Consider the following 17,260-nt stretch of genomic DNA (forward strand, 5'->3'; position numbering starts at 1 on the left):
GTAGAGGAAAATGTGTGGAAATGCTTTATAACCTGTAGAATGCTATAAAGATGTCAGTCCAAGACTTTAATCTTGTCTTGGATTTATCTTACGTATCCAACTAGCATTTAATATGTATCTTCTATCCATGGCATATTGGTTTATTTATCTTTATTCTCCAAGTATTTCCTTATTTCTATCTTTGCTTGTACTTTTCCTTCTCTCCAGAATCTTGTTATTGCTTCCATTTTTTCACATCTTACCCATCTTGCATGGCCAAACTAAAGTATCATTTCCTTTACCTTATTCTGTTTTTTCTTTATTCTCTGAACTGTTCCATGTACTTACTATAGGAAACAGGTTTAATACTTCCTACTAAGTGTTTTTATAGTAACAGTTCTTTGTATTTTAATTTCATATCGATAGCCAGATGAGTAGCTCCCTAAGGGTGGAAATAATGTATTGACTTATTTTATATATCCCATATTGCTAATTAAAGGTCTTAATTAACAGCAAACTTTTACAGAGCCTAAAAGTATGTTGAGGTTAACTATACATACCTTATGTTTTTCCCCAAAGAGGGAAAGTTTAAAAATTTAGGGTAATTAATTACCTTCATTAGTTTTCATTGCTGGAGCATAGGTTAATAATAAACATTTTAAAAGAATGTCATTTTGCAGATACTGAATTCAAGTGAACATAGAGACTCAAATCTGATACTAATCCAGCATTTGTAGCCCTTCAATTCTAATTGCTCAGGATTTTGAAAAATTAAAAATAATCTGGAAAAGTCAGTGCTTTAGCACATATTCTTTGCTCTGAAAAAATGAAAAAGGAAGAAAAAGGTGAACCACAGGATATTGCTGTTTCTGTAGGCCTAAAACACTGGAAATTTCAAGTCATTCTATCTAACTGTATCATAAACGTAACAGAACTTCCTAAATCCAATAGCCACTTACATACCACAGAAATAATGATCTCTTGTACTACCACAGAAATTTCAGTTAGAATCAGTTAAGCTTTCATACATTGGAGATATGTATACTTCCTGAGCAACTACTGCATACTGGTCACAAAGCCAAGTGCTTGGTATAAACAACAGATAGACTCTGCTTTTAATGAGCTTATATTGTAAGGTATGTGGGTGTTTTGAGGGTCTGGGAGGACACTTTGTCAGCATCCTTATATAATTATAAACTATGATAAATGTTGTTTTAAAAAAAGATGTAAGATTACCGGAGAGTCTGACCTTTGATTGGGAACATCAGGAAAACCTTTCTGAGGAAGTGGCATTTGATCTGGCATATGAGGAATGAGCTGAGTAGGGGTGGGTTAGCTGGGTGAGGAAGAAAAAAGACAATAGGCAAACAGGTTGTATGGGCCATGGCATGTGTAGTAACAGAAAAAAATGCATAGCTGGGTAGTAGTCAGTGAATGGGATAGGGACATTGAGAAGAGGTTGGACAATCAAGAACCAGGTAGAGTAGACCCTTGTATCCAAAGTTAGAGTTTATTTTGCATTTTAAATGAAAAGATTGACACGAATGGATTTATATTTTAGAAAGATCACTGTACTCAGAGCACTAGATGAGGAAGGTGTGGTAGGGGCTAGGGCAAGAATAGAAGTTGGGACAAATTAGGGGGCTATTTCAGTGAAAATGGGGAGATGAAGACCAATCAAGGTATGTTTCAAAAGGAAAATCAACTGGATTCTTGGTGAATTAGGTAAGGGAGTGGGGGGAGAGGCAAAGTATAGAGAGAGCTGTTAAAAATGACTCCTCCCATTTACTTGAGAGTGAAGTTCCCAGAGGAAAGGAGAGGTGGTAGGGGGATCAAAAGAACAGTTTTAATTTTAATTGTATGTGAGACATCCAAGTGGTGATGTCACATAGTCGGGTATTTGTCAAAGCAGATTCTGGCTAGATTCATAAATTTAAGAATAATAAATTTATCAATAGTATTTAAAGCTATGGGAAGGCATATGAAGAGGTTAAAAAAAAAAGCTAGATGGCAGGATCATGATGTTTGTATGAATCTGGTAGGTGGTGTAATGGCTTAAGACAGCCCCACTGTGAGATAATAAATGGCAACTGATATGATGTATGAACTTGAGATGGAGGAGAGGGAGAATGAATGAACATACATTATCTGAAGGGAACTGCCTCTATTCATTCAGCTCAGATAATTATTACTAAATAAATCTGGGCCCAGATATTTCATTTTTAAAAGAGAAGTTAGAAATTTGGCTTTTATGTAACTTTTCCCATATTTGGATATATAAAACATAATTCATATTTAAAATTCTATATGAGTTATTATTGATTGCGCCCACTATTTTGCACTCTGTCCTAGGACAGAGTATTTAAAATTACTTGAAGGTCAGCTAGAGGATTAGGAGCCAAAGGAGGTTAGAGAGAAACCAAGAGAATAGAGTGTCACAAAAACTAGAGATAGAGAAGGTTTCACAAAGATTGGCATAGTCCAGGGCTTTTAATATATTTACAGAGTGTAGCAGTTTGGTAAGATGATACCTAAAAAGTGTCCCTTGGATTTTCTAGTGTAGACTAGGCAGTTGATATTAGCAAGAGCAATTCCTCAAATGAACTGACAACTTAAGTGAGGAACAGGCTGACGCATGTGGGCTCCCTGCCAGTAAAAGACACAGGCATATTCAAATTCCCTGACCTTTTGTGTTACTGGAGAATATGAACTATACAGAAAAGAAATATACCCTCCCCACCCCACAGAGTGAACTGAGTGGTGAAGTAGTGAAGACTAAATGTGGATACTTCTGTTGGAAAGCTCATTTGTGAAGTGGAGCAAAATGTCATACCTGGAAGAAAATCAGAATCAATGTATAGATTTTTAAATTGAATATGTAAGAGGAGTGTTTGATAAGGAAATGTGATACAAATTTAGTAATTTAGGGGTTAATTTTTTTTTAGTTTTCTGTACAGAAGCTGCCTGTAGTAGTATCTAGAGACTCACATTATAGAATACTCAACTAAGTATCTGGACCACCTGCTGCATTTGTACTTATCAGTGACTTCGTGGATCTTTGCAAAAGGATACTTTCTTTCTTTTTTTTTTTTTTTTTTGGCCGGGAGGAGGTCCGGAGCTGGGCTGGTGCAGTGGCGCAGTCTTGGCTCACTGCAACCTCTGCCTCCTGGGTTCACGTGATTCTCATGCCTCAGCCTTTTGAGTAGCTGGGATTACAGGTGTGTGCCACCATGCCCGGCTAATTTTTTGTGTTTTTCATAGAGACGGGGTTTCACCATATTGGCCAGGCTGGTCTCCAACTCCTGAGCTCTGGCAATCCACCCTCCTTGGCCTCCCAAAGTGCTAGGATTACAGGCATGAGCCACTGTGCCTAGCCCTCTATTTCTTTATTTCTTTTTTTTTTTTTTTTTTTTTTTTTTTTGAGACAGAGTCTCTCTCTGCTGCTCAGGCTGGAGTGCAGTGGCGTCTGCCTCCTGGCTTCAAGTGATTCTCCTGCCTCAGCCTCCCGAGTAGCTGCAACTACAGGCACGTGCCACCACGCCCAGCTAATTTTTGTATTTTCAATAGAAACAGGGTTTCACTGTGTTGGCCAGGCTGGTCTTGAACTTCTGACCTCATGATCTGCCTGCCTCAGCCTCCCAAAGTGGTGGGATTACAGGCATGAGCCACCGTGCCTGTTTTCAAATAGTAAAACCACGTTCGCTCTGGAACGCTAATGTGCGTATAAATCACCTGGTGGTCTTGTAGTGCAGGTGCAGGCTGGCACTTGTAGATCAGGTTCAGTAGATCTGGGGTGGGCTTGAAGATTCTGCATTTCTAACAAGTTCCCAAGTGATAACGATGCCACTATAAAGGTCAGTGGAAAATATAAACTAAAAATCACTAGCACATCCAAAATTCTAAGAGATTTTTATATTTTTAATGCAAATTTTTATCTTACATCCTGTAACATTAGCATATCATGTTACATTAGTTTTAAGACATAGAAGAAGAGGCAGCTAACAGGTTCTTCATGATCTTTTCAGTTAACCCAATGAGGTATTATTTTTCCCTTTTTAGAATCAGGGTAACTGAGGTTCAGAGCTGTTAACTAGCATGTGACTAGTTAAAAAGTCAGGTTTACCTGCCTATCAGTCTAGCATTTGCTTTAACCACCACATCTTAATTTTCTTTTTATTTTTTTCTTGATTTGTACAGTTCTGTTTTTTTGTCTTTAGTGAAAATAATTCAATCTATTGTTATTTTTATATTTAGTCTTAGATTTCTACTTTAGCCTATTTCTCCCCTGTGCAGAAGAGTTGCAAATTTTGCTGGAAGGACACTCCTGTTTTTCCGTTGCATATCCTTTCTGAAATGTTATATGATAAAAGAGAACTGGGCGTATGTTTTGAGGACAATAGCTTTTCATGAATTCTGTCAAGCCTTAAATACTTGGTGGATTCCAGCAATAGGGTGGGGTATTGCCAGTTTCTTTTAGAGCTGTAATCTGCAAAAATAGGTTTTATCTCAGAAATATGATATAGGTCATCATAAATGTTTACTTTTTACTTCTTTACCATAGTCCAATGTTGATATAAAAATGCTCTCTTTTAGAATGTGAAACACAGGAAGTATGCCAGATGGAAGGCAACATACATCCATAATTGTTTAAAGAATGGGGAGACTCCTCAAGCAGGCCCTGTTGGAATTGAAGAAGATAATGGTATGTATTTATTTATTCTGAGTAAAAGGACTTAGTAGAATCATAATTATTCAGTAGATTACTCAAAGTTTTTGGAGGGAACAATACAGTTTTGTTTTCATCAGGCCCAGAATCAATGAAAGTTAAGTATAAAATCATAAACTTAGGGACAGTGAGAAATAGAAATAAAGGTCAAACTGCTGTAATACCTGTCCATGTCAACAAAGTGACTTATCTGTCTCCTGCTTTTTTTTTTTTAATGAGACATAGTCTCGCTCTGTCGCCCAGGCTGGAGTGCAGTGGCGCAGTCTCTGCTCACTGGGAGCTCCGCCTCGCAGGTTCATGCCATTCTCCTGCCTCAGCCTCCCGAGTAGCTGGGACTACAGGCGCCTGCCACCACGCCTGGCTAATTTTTTTGTACTTTTAGTAGAGACGGGGTTTCACTGTGTTAGACAGGATGGTCTCGATCTCCTGACCTTGTGATCCGCCCACCTTGGCCTCCCAAAGTGCTGGGATTACAGGCGTGAGCCACCGTACCTGGCCTCCTACTTTTAATCAGATTTCATTCCTGTTACATAGGAAAGGCAATCCATTTATAATTTATAAAATGTTTTCAAACCACGAAGAATACCGTATCATTTTTTGTAAATCTATTTGAGTTATGTAGGTTATTTGCGGAGTTAGTAATACATTCACATGGTTCAAAAAAATTGTAGAGTATATAAAAAATATGAAGTGAATTTCTCCTGTCTACCACATCCCCCGTCTTCCCAGATCCTACCAAAACTCAAGTAAGCATTTTTAGTTTTTTTTGTGTATCTTTACAGAGATCATTTTTTATGAATTTACTACCAAGTAGAAACATATATGCTCCATTTTTTCATACAACTGGTAATATACATACTGTTCTGTACCTGGCTATGTTTTTTTTTAACTTAATATGTACAGGAAAATTTTACCATCACACAGTGCGTTTTACAAATTTTAATCATGAAAAAATAAAGGTCTCATTATTTTACTTGGCCTTTCAGTTAATGTGTAATAGAAAAGGGAAACCTTTTTTCACTTACTTGTTTTTTATGTATTAGACGTAGTAAATAGATGGTTATAAAGAGAACGACCACTGTTCTTGGAACTGAGAAAATTCCAAACGATCCTTGCATTTTGTTACACACTTTTATGCATTTGTGAAGATAATTATCCAATGCAGGCATCAGTAAACTTTCTTAAAGGATCAGATAATAAATATTTTCAGTTTATGAATGATACTGTCTTTGTTGCAGCTGTTTAGCTCTGCTGTTGTAGTACAGAAGTAGCCATAGATAATATGTAAAAAAATGAGTGTGGTTGTGTTCCAGTAAAGCTTTATTTACAGTTAACAGCCTGCCAGCCCACTGGCCATAGTTGGCCAACCCCAATCTAATTAATCTCTTTAGATCTATTATTATAATGAATTATATTGAAAGATTGCCTATTATTGAACCAATTTTACATTGTGTGATAAACCCCACTTGGTCATGATATATTATTTTTTTATTATACTGATAGGTTCAGTTCACTACTATATCATTTAGGATTTTTATGTTGACATTTATAACTAAAGATGGTCTACAGTTTTCCTTTTTGGTATCAATGTTATGATGTTATGCTTACTTCATAAATATACTCAGAATATTTCTAGTCTTTTTCTGTGCTTTGGAACAGTGGAATTATCTGGTCTTTAAATGCACCCTGGAAATTTTTTGTGAAACCAACTAGCTGTTTTACTTTTCGGGACTATTTTAGATGTTGCATTTTAGGTATATTGAAATACCTAATAAATTGTCAATTTGGGGTTTTCGGCATTCTTTCCATATCAGTAACTTCTCTAATCTTAAAACTCTTTAACATTTTGCCTTTGAAAGTAGGAAGTGTGCATTTTGATTATCACGTTGATCTGTTTTGTTCTGAAATGGTTATTGTAGGCCCTTACGATTAATAATGCTAACTAAATAGATTATTAAATGTAGACAGTTTTTGTTTTCCAAAAGTCAGCTTAAATGGAAGTTGTCATTTCTGTTATTTATTTTCATACATATTTGCTGGAGTTTCTGGATAGTGGAAAATTGTAAGCTACAGAATACTAATAATAAATCCTCTACAATATAAAGGAGAATATTTTCACTGCATACTTTTTCAACTCATTAACTTAAAACATAACCTGTTGTCATAATCAGGGCTTAATGTCATAACCTCTAATAATGTCTTCTCAAAGATAGCCTATATATCTACAAGATATAATGTCATTAAATCTGATTTTGTGTGAGAAAAATCTTCTTTAAGACTTTGATTTGTTTTCTTTTTTTGAGTGTAGAATTATATTCTGTTGTGTTTTAGGATTAACTCTTGGAACATAGTCTAAGTGTAAAAGGTAGTATATTTCACAAAAACCTAATTGTCTATTGTTCTGGCATTGAATTTCTAGTAAAACCGTAGAAAATAATAGATATTGTACTTAGTTAACTTAGATAAAGAACAAAAGAGTATACACTTTTGAAAACAATACTATGTATTAAGTTCTAGCTGAATACCACATCACTGTGACATTTGAATAGATATTACAAACAGGCTTCCACTTATGATTTAACGTATACTTTTTCACCTTTAAGAAGATAGCAAAGCAATATGCATTCAATAGAAACTGTACTTCGAGAACCCTTACAGTCATTGTTTTTCACCTTCAGTACAGTATTTATTAAATTATATAAAGGCTTTGTGTTAGATGATTTTGCACTAATGTAAGTGCTCTGAGCATGTTTCATGTAGGCTAGGCTAAGCAATGATGTTCGGTAGCTTAGGTATTTTAAATGCATTTTTTACTTAGATTTTTGACTTACAGTGGGTTTTTTGGGATGTAACACCATCGTATGTTGATGAGCATCTGTATGTAGAATTAATGATATAAAAAAAGAACAGTAGATCATTGAAACCATTCATTTTATATGGTAAATTTGTTTTGATACAATGTTAAATTTACTGGCAAGTTGCCAGAATGATATAAAGAATTCCAGTATGCCTTTGATCCAGAATTAAACATTCTCTCATTGATTCATAGTCTGTCCCTCTTTCTCACCCCTTGTCCCCTTTTCTCTCTCCCCACTCCCCCTACCACACATAAAAAACAAAGGACATGAGGTTATTTTATATATTTGTGTGTGTGTGTGTGTGTGTGTGTGTAAAATTTCAAAATACAACCTGGTGTCATAATCTGGTGTTAATGTCATGATTTTTAGCAGTATCTCCTTAGAAATGGCTTATGGCTTCACAAGAGGATATCATTATATATATATTTTGAAGTATTTATTAGTAAATTAGAGATATGCTCTTTTACTGCTGAGTACTTCTGTATTTCCTCAGAAGAGTGGCATTCTTTTTACTACAGTGTACTTATCAAAATCGAGAAGTATAGTATTTATTTAGTGTATCATCTGATTTCCATCTGTATTCAGATTTTAGCAGTTGACTCAGTAATACCCTTTGTAGTTTTCCTTCTCATGCACATAGATCACACGTTGCATCTGGGTGCCATATCTCTTCAGTCTCCTTAATCTGGAGTAGCTCCCCAGGATTTCTAGTGTTTCTTTGCCTTGATGCTTTTGAAAAGTACAGTTACTTTTTAACTGTTCCTCAATTTGTTTGTCTGATATTGCCTCATAATTAGTTTAACCCTATGCATTTTTTGCAGAATAGCCCAAAATAAAGTTGTGTCCTCCCTGCCTTACATTAGAAGTATATGATTTTGGTGAAATATTGGTGATGTTAACTGATCACTTGGGTAATGTGGTGTCTTCTGGGTTATTCCCCATTAAAATTATTTTTCCCTTTGCTATTAATAAGTAATTTGTGGAAGATACTTTGATATTATGTAAATATCCTATATTTTTTATGCAACTTCACCCCCTGGGTTTAGCATTCATTGATGATTTATCATTCTTTTTATTTTAATTAGTTGGCACTCTATCATAAGGATGGACTTTCCAGTCTATACATAAATAAATGTATTTATTCATTTAATTATTTACATCAGTATGGGCTCATGAATTTATATTCAGTGATTATAATTCATTACTCATTATTCTTTATTATGATCCTTTATGTGACTCCTGTTGCAGCTTCTGCACCAGTTGTGGCTTCATTACTTGAGCAAATTAACATTCTTTGGTATCTAGTATACAGCTATTGATCTGGCCAGTGCCTTTTTCTTCATACCTGTCCATAAGGTTCACTAGAAGCAGTTTGCTTTCATCTGGCATGGCCAGCAGTACACTTCACTGTCCTACCTCAGGGGTATATCAACTCTCCAGCTCTATGTCACAATTTAGTTTGCAGGGATCTTAATACCTTCTTACCCTTCCACAAGATATTACACTGGTCCATTATATTGATGACATTATGCTGATTGGACCTAGTGAGCAACTACTCTGGACTTAGTGGTGAGACATTTGCTTCTCAGAGAATGGGAAATCAAACTGACTAAAGTTCAGGGATGTCAGTGAAATTTCTAAAGGTCCAGTGATATGGGGCATGTCAAGATATTCATAGTAAGGTGATATTGTTGCATCTAGCCACTCCTACGACCAAAAGAGAGGTACTGTGCCTAGTGGACCTGTTTGGATTTTGGAGTCAACACGTTCCTCATTTGGGTGTATTACTCTGACCCATCTGCTGAGTAACTCAATCTTCTTTTCTTTTTCCTTTATCTTAACTATTCTGTCCTTTGAGTTTCCACATAAATTTTAGAATTAGATTTTCAGTTTCTCTTTTTTAGAAAAAATGCCTACTGGCATTATGATTAGTATTAAACTTAGGGAGAATTAATTGTCTTTCAGTACATGAACATAATGTATCTTTCCATTTATTTAAGTTTTCTGTAATTTCTTTCAGCGGTATTTTAGATTTTTTGAAGTAGAGGTTTTTACCTCTTTTGTTAAATTTACTTCAAGTATTTTGTGTCCTTTCATTCTCTTGTAAATGAAATTAATTTTTTAATTTGGTTTTCCAGTCGTTAGCTTCTAATAGGAATTACAATTGATTTTTGTATAATTTTTTATCTTGCAACCTTGCTAAATTTACCTATTGATTCTGATAATTACTTTGTAAATTCCTTGAGAGTTTGTATGTAGATAATTATGTCATTTGCAAGGAGAGACAGTTTTGCTTCTTCCTTTCCAATCCTCATTTCTTTCTTTTCTTGACTATTGTGCCAGTGGCAATAAATATGTCCATTGTTTTGTTTTGTTTTTTGCCCTATGTGATACTGAGAAATCTTCTTTATTTCTAGGGTGCTGAGAAGTTTTGTCATAAATGGATGTTGAATTTTGTCAAGTGCTTTTTATGCACTTATTAAAATTATCATAGGACTTTTTTTCTTCTGTTAATATGAGTTACATTGATTGATTTTCAAATGTTGAACCAACCCTGCACTCATTGGTAAACTTAGTCATGATGAGGCCTTGTATTATATGGCTGATTTGATTCTGATACTAAGAATTTGTGTGTCTACATTTCAGTATTGGTGAGGTTTGGTATCAGGGTTACACTGGCCTCATAAAACAAGGTGAAAGTAATCCCTTCTCTGTTTTCTGAAATTGTTTGCATAAGATTGGTATTTTTTCTTACTTGAATGTTTGATATAATTCACTGCTTATTCCATCTAGGCTCTGCATTTTCTTTGTAGGAGGGTTTTTAACCATGAATTCAATTTCCCCAATAGATTTAGGACTGTTCAGATCATCTCTTTTTGGGTGAGTTATGGTATTTTGTATCTTCAAGTGATTTGTTCATTTCCCTGAGGTAGTGCCATTTATTGGCGTAATATTTTCTTATTGTCTTCACTGTCCTTTTAATGTCTGTAGGATGTATTTGATATCACCTCCTTCATTTCTCATATTCATAATAGCTGTTTCCTCTTTTTCCTCCCAGTCTCTTGACAGAGATGTTTTAATTTTTTTTATTATCTCAACAAGTACTTAGTACAGTTTTTTTCTTCTTTATTTTCTATTCCTTTTATTTTTTGCTGCACCACACTTGGAGTTTAATTTGCTTTTTTTTTTTTTTTTTTTTAGCTTCTTAGGGAGGAAATGTAGATCTTTGATCTTTAAATTTTTCTTTTCTGATAGAATAATTTAAATCTATCTTTCAGTTTCCCTCTAAGCATTGGTTTAGTGACATCCTGCAAATTTTGGTATCACTCAGTTCACCATAATTATAGTTTTCTTTGTGATTTCTTCTTTGAGTAATGGATTATTTATAAATATATTCTTTAATTTCAGAATGTTTGAGGTGTTTGTAGATATCTTACTGATTTCTAATTCAATTCCATTTTAGTCAGAGAACATACTATAAAAGATTTCGGTATTTTGTAGTTTATCAAGATTTCTTTCATGGCCCAGCATATGATCTGTCTTGGTGAATGTCCCATGTGCAGTTGAAAAGAATGTATTCTGCAGTTATTGCTTATGATGTTCTCTGTTAAATCTCCAAGTACAGTGGTTTTACTAGTTCTGCCAGTTTGTTTCATTTTGAGACTCTGTTATTATATTAGGCACATGTACCTTTATAGTTATTTTTTATGAACTAACCTTTTTATTATTATGGAACATCCCACTATATCTTGCTGATGTTCCTGGTTACGAATTCTATTTGGCCGGATTTTAAAGTTAGCCACCCCAGCTTTTGTCAGCTTGGTATTTGTGTTAACGTTTTAATCCTTATGAAATGGTCCTTTTTATCTCAGCTAATATTCCTTGTCATTGATTCTATTTGTCTGTTATTAAAATTAGTCACCAGCTTTTGTCTGCTGGATATTTACATGGTTTGTCATCCTTTTAGTTTAAACAAATCTAGATCTTTGTGTTTTAAAGTACATTTCCTGCAAAAAGCATATAGGCACTTTTTTATTCTGTCTCTCAACCCCTGTGTGAGAAATAGTGTTTAGTTCATTTACATTTAATGTAATTGCTATAGCTAGATTTAAACCTATTTTGCCATTTCCTTTCTGTTAATACCATCTGTTTTTTTTCTCTTACAGTTTTTCCCCCCTCTGGTTAGTTTTGTCTCTTTCATTTGTTATGTCCATGTTTTACTTTGTGGCCTTGAACAAATTTATTGTAGCTGCTTTAAAGTGCTTTTTTGCTGATTTTCAATATCAGGGTCATTTTGAGGTCTTTTTTGTAGACTCTTTTTTTCACATTTTCCTTTTCTCCCCTAATTTTTAATAATTTCTATTTGTTGATAACATGTTGAAGCTCCTCTGCATCCTGTTATCTTTCTCTGCAAAGTCTTGATTCTTATTCCAGCAGACCATTGACTTGCCAGAACTCAAACTTTGTCCCCCTGTTTCAGCTTTAAGTTGCTTTTCTCCAGGGCCCCCTAGAGTCTTACCTGAGTGTGCATAATTCAGGGGCTTGTAGGTATTTAGTTGGGGTTCATACAAACATTTCATGGCTCACTTCTTGGCAACTTTCTTTTATGTAGACTATTGACTGCCCTCAGATGAACAGCCACATAAAATCAAATGTTACCTGGTAAGATTTCCTCTTACCCTTACTCTCATTTCTACCAGCTTTTGGTCATGCTCTAGTGCCTTTATGTTGTGGAGCTTTTTTCTTTCCCAGAATGTATAAATGTTAGAGTTCTCCAGTATTGGGGAAAGTCATGTTAATGTATGTAAAGTATAAATACATCCACAAGGTTGCTTGATAAAATGCTTATCTCAGATTAGGTAAATTTAACTTTTTTTCTTGTTTGAAATTAGCTACATTGAATAACCTGTTTATAATCAGACAAAAAAGTTATTTAAAAATGTGGTAGGAAGCAGTAAGATCTATTCTCTTTGATGAGTCTGTAGCTCTAGCTTGCTTTTATTTTAAGTTACTATGACTCCCAGTAGCGGCTGATGGTCATTTTATACTCAAAATTCAGTTTTTCAAAGTAGTTTTCAAATTCGGCTCACGATACAGTATATTTTAAAAGTTTGCATTTCAGAACTTTTCAAAATGAAATATCTCATTTCTTTCTGCATAGCTAAATGCAAAATTTCATTCCTCTGTTTTTATTAGCTAAATGCATTGAACAACTCACAGATAATCATTTAGTAGCTAGTACGCGGTAAATCTTAAGTAAAAGTCCGCTGTCAGAAAATGGAGTTCTTATTGGATAGCATAAATGTGGCATGTTTTGCCAGAAATGTCCTTGAGTCTTCATAAGTTTAAAGAAAGTTTATTTTAAAGAAAAACATATTCTGGGTGTGGTGGCTCACGCCTGTAATTCCAGCACTTTGGGAGGCCGAGGCAGGCAGATCACGAGGTCCGGAGATTGAGACCATCCTGGCTAACACGGTGAAACCCCGTCTCTACTAAAAATACAAAAAAAAAAAAACCAAAAAAAAAACAAACTAGCCGGGAGTGGTGGCAGGCGCCTGTAGTCCCAGCTACTCGGGAGGCTGAGGCAGGAGAATGGCGTGAACCTGGGAGGTAGAGCTTGCCGTGAGCTGAGATCACGCCACTGCACTCCAGCCTGGGCAGCAGAGTGAGACTCCGTCTCAAAAAAAAATATATATATATATATGTGTGTGTGTGTGTGTGTGTGTGTGTGTGTGTGTGTGTGTGTGTATATGTGTGTACATATACACTATATGCAAAGATTTTATAGAATTAAAAAATATTAACCTGAAAGAAGTGATAATCATATTGTCAGGTACAATTACATTTTTTAAGAAAATAAAAAAATTAAAAATATTGTTTTAAGAATAGAGCTTGCTTCTCCACTGCATTAAATAGAATTGCATTTAAAGATTCCATTTGTCATGTGTATAATGAAATAAGAATACCTAGCACTTGTATTTCAAAATACCTACTGTAACATTGTGTATATGTGATCTGATAGATATTGAAGAAAATGAAGATGCTGGAGCAGCCTCTCTGCCCACTCAGCCAACTCAGCCATCATCATCTTCAACTTATGACCCAAGCAACATGCCATCAGGCAACTATACTGGAATACAGATTCCTCCGGGTGCACACGCTCCAGCTAATACACCAGCAGAAGTGCCTCACAGCACAGGTGGGAAACTGTAACTGAATGATTTATTTAATTCCCCTTTTATAAAGAAGAACTGCATTTCTTATCACATATGTGCCTCATAATGATGGTCATGAAAACATGACAAGTTCCTTGAATTCCATTTGAACCCACAAGAAACATTAAATTATTTTCATTAAAATTTTAATATTAGTTGTATTCTAATTATTTGAGAAATGACAAGTATTATGTGCATTGATTACTCTTAACCTTATATTTTATTAATAAGATTGGTTTCCATGCTTTTCATATATATTGCTGTTTTTCTTTTTCTTCTCTTCCCTTTCTTTTCCCCTCACTGTTGTTTTAGAATAGCTCGGAGGTGAGTGGAGTTGATATTAGGATGTGTCAGTCAGGGTCTCACTGTGATATCTAGGTTTGTTTCATTCCCTTGGGACTATGCCTCTGCCCTGAAGATGGGTATTATTGATGATGGGGAATGGGCTTTGAGGCATGAAATCTCAGTAACAATGAAATCATAGACAGGTGAAAGCAGGGATTCGGATTTTTTTTTTTTAACCTTACACTTTAAAAAACTAACAGGAAAGAGAGACCTATCTGTGAATAAATCAGTACTGTATGTTTATGTTTTTATTTTTAAAAATCTGACAAAGTTAGTCCTTAGTAGTTAAGTCAGGGTCAGTAAAGACACTTTGACAAAATTTCAGTTACTCTTCCCTTTAATTGCATTGTTGACAAAATGTCACCTTTATCTCCAAGTAGGACACTTGCAGCTATAATTTAAATTTTACATTTAATTTTTTCAAAAACTTTTCTTAAAAATTTACTTTTATCCCAGGTGACTTATGGTACTAAACTATACAAACACTTTAAAATAATTAATGGAATGATAGTCATCCTTCATGCCCTGATTTCTACTGTTCCTATTATGTAACACACTACTACTTTACTTTTATTTGTCAGCCTTATTTTACCCAAATTTTTTTTATTTTACCCAAATTTTGCATGAATTACATTATATGCAAGTTTTCTATTTTGACCATTGTAACATCAAGTATGATTAGTGTCTTTCCTCCTATTTTAAAACTTACAAGTTTATATTATCTGCAAAAATATTGCTAACGTTTTCTTTAAGATTATTGATGAAATGATAATTTTAGCACTGATCTTTTTTTGTGTCTTCAGTCAGCATATTTGACCTTGACTTTTCAATATTTTATGGCCTATGTGATGATATTAATAGACAAACCTATTTGCATTTGTTTTGGAAGTAAAATTTCTTGGAACACTTTTAAGTATTTTATTATGTTTAGAAATATTCATTATTTCCAGTGTGGAATAATGTAAGTGAAACCAGCTACTTAGATCTGTTTGCCTTAGATGAATACTGTTCAGATTATACTTGAAGGTTGAAATCCTGATCAAGAGTCCCAGACACAAGCATTCTCATAGAGGAGCCAAGGGGAAATAAAATGCATTTAGGAGGCAAATCATATTGGTTATTTGTTTCTACCCCATGCTAAAGCATAAACTCAGCTGATATTTAACTTCTCGTGACCTTAATTTTTCCTCTTTCTAATATGAAATTAATCATACTTACTTCTCATGGTTATTTTAATTATTAAAAGGGAAAAACTGTAAAAATGGACTAGTAGTAGGCCTATCACAAAATCAGTGTTCAGCAGATTAGCCTCCTTTCCCTCTTTTTTTCCTCTTCCTTCCTATTTCTGTGCCAAGGAAAGTCAAGGTATTTAATGGCAAGTTAATGAACACTTAAAATTATTATGCGAATCAAGAGAAGTATCACAACTGGGGGTAGGATATTAACCTTATAGAAAGACTGTCCAAGGAGTTTTGTTTTAGACAGTATATCTCAAGGCAGAGTTGTGGTATAGGCACATCAGTATATATTTTATATATAGGTACACTCTATGAGTATACAAAAGAGAACACTTTTAACAGGAGGGCTATAGTAGATCGATCCATATGAAATTGCTAGTTTTGTGTAACAAAAATGATAAAGTATTGATAGTCTTATATGTTCAAACTAATACACAGTGTATCCTGGCTAGAATATTCATGACATAAAGATAAATATTAGGTGGTTTTCCATTAGAAAGTTTTTTGTCATAAACAGTTCAATTTGATCTAGTTAACTCTAGCATGAGCCTCTTGTTTTCTCTGTCTTTTGTTCCTTAGAGGGAAGAATAAAACTAAAAAACTTAGAACTTTTATAGAATGAGATCCTATCATATTTTATACACTCTTGTAGCCTTACCAGTCAAATGATTATCATGGCTAATTTCCACACTTATTCTTGCAGCAACTATATTATGTATTACTGTCTTTAACTTACAAACTCTCAAGAGACTAAGCAATTATTCTAAGAAAACAAACATACCCAGTAATGACAGAACCAGGATTTGAATCCACGTTTTTTTGACTTCATGTTTTAGCCATGTGCCTTCTATGTTCCTTCCTCTAAGGAACTAAAATCCTCTCAAATTAAAACCTACTTTTCTGATAGTATATTTCCCTTTAAGATTGGTTTGAGATGTTGAAATCTCCTCCTTTTAGCCCCAGATTTTTTTCTATTATATTTGAAACAGTAAAAAAAGTTCATAGTTGCCTAATAAAAAACAAAATAACATTTTTAATAATATAAATAATAGCAAATGTTTCCCCTCTTACTCACGTTAAGAATGATTTATTTTCTCTCATATAAAGGTCCAGGATGCACTTTTATCAAAGGGAAATCCTTAAGATAACTGAAAAGAATAGTATGTACTAATTTGCAGTTTTTAGTTCTTCCACAAAAAAGCAAAGGAGGTGCAATGAGGACAGGGATAGTGATTGTTTAAACAGGCGAAGTGTTTGCTTCTTGTGCTTTCAACACTGCACAGATATCACATGTAGTTGATACAGTGTGTTTTTTTCTTTCTCAAGAAACATAAGCTTTTTATAGTTCATATTACAGGAGAAGATTTTAGTAATAAAGCTAGATTAAATAATATAATTATTTTATGATTAAAGCTAGCCTTTCATTGTAAAATGCAGCTCACTTCATAGATCAAAATGTAGGCTGTGTACTTGTGTCAGAAGTACCATGTTTGCATTCTTCTGTAAGCTTTGATAACCTGTTGTTGATACTCTGGCCTACGCATTTCTCTCAACCCTGTTTCTCATGATTACACTAAGGTTTCACTCATTCTTTCCTTATACTGTTACTCATAGACAATATAGGTAACATTCCTTTCTTCCTTTTTCTGTGTCTCTCCAAATGCTGTGTTCTTTCAGGAGTCTGTTTAATCACACTTTCTGGATAGTCTTCTCTATAAATAGAGATTTGTTTGGAGGATTTTAATTTAGGCAGAAATGCAAATTACTTAGCAATGAATGACATTGATCTATAGATTGGACCATTAGAGTATAGTAGATTTACCTTGTTTTTTAAGATGTATATGAATGATATATGTAATCTACATAAGCCTAGGTACACCTGTTTCAAAGCACTAGACA

The 17,260-nt window shown here is 34.3% G+C and overlaps 1 protein-coding gene across 3 annotated transcripts in view; it reads left to right on the forward strand.

Moving 5' to 3' along the window:
* Nucleotides 1–17,260, forward strand: part of VTA1 (vesicle trafficking 1) — a 77,423-nt gene that overhangs the window by 37,591 nt on the left and 22,572 nt on the right. For all 3 annotated transcript variants that reach the window (NM_016485.5, NM_001286371.2, NM_001286372.2), the window contains 2 exons: nucleotides 4,573–4,681; nucleotides 13,586–13,762. In NM_016485.5, coding sequence (NP_057569.2) covers nucleotides 4,573–4,681; nucleotides 13,586–13,762 — 286 coding nt within the window. The remainder of the gene's footprint in view (nucleotides 1–4,572; nucleotides 4,682–13,585; nucleotides 13,763–17,260) is intronic.

This window comes from Homo sapiens, chromosome 6 (assembly GCF_000001405.40).
Source record: "Homo sapiens chromosome 6, GRCh38.p14 Primary Assembly".
NCBI lineage: Eukaryota > Metazoa > Chordata > Mammalia > Primates > Hominidae > Homo > Homo sapiens.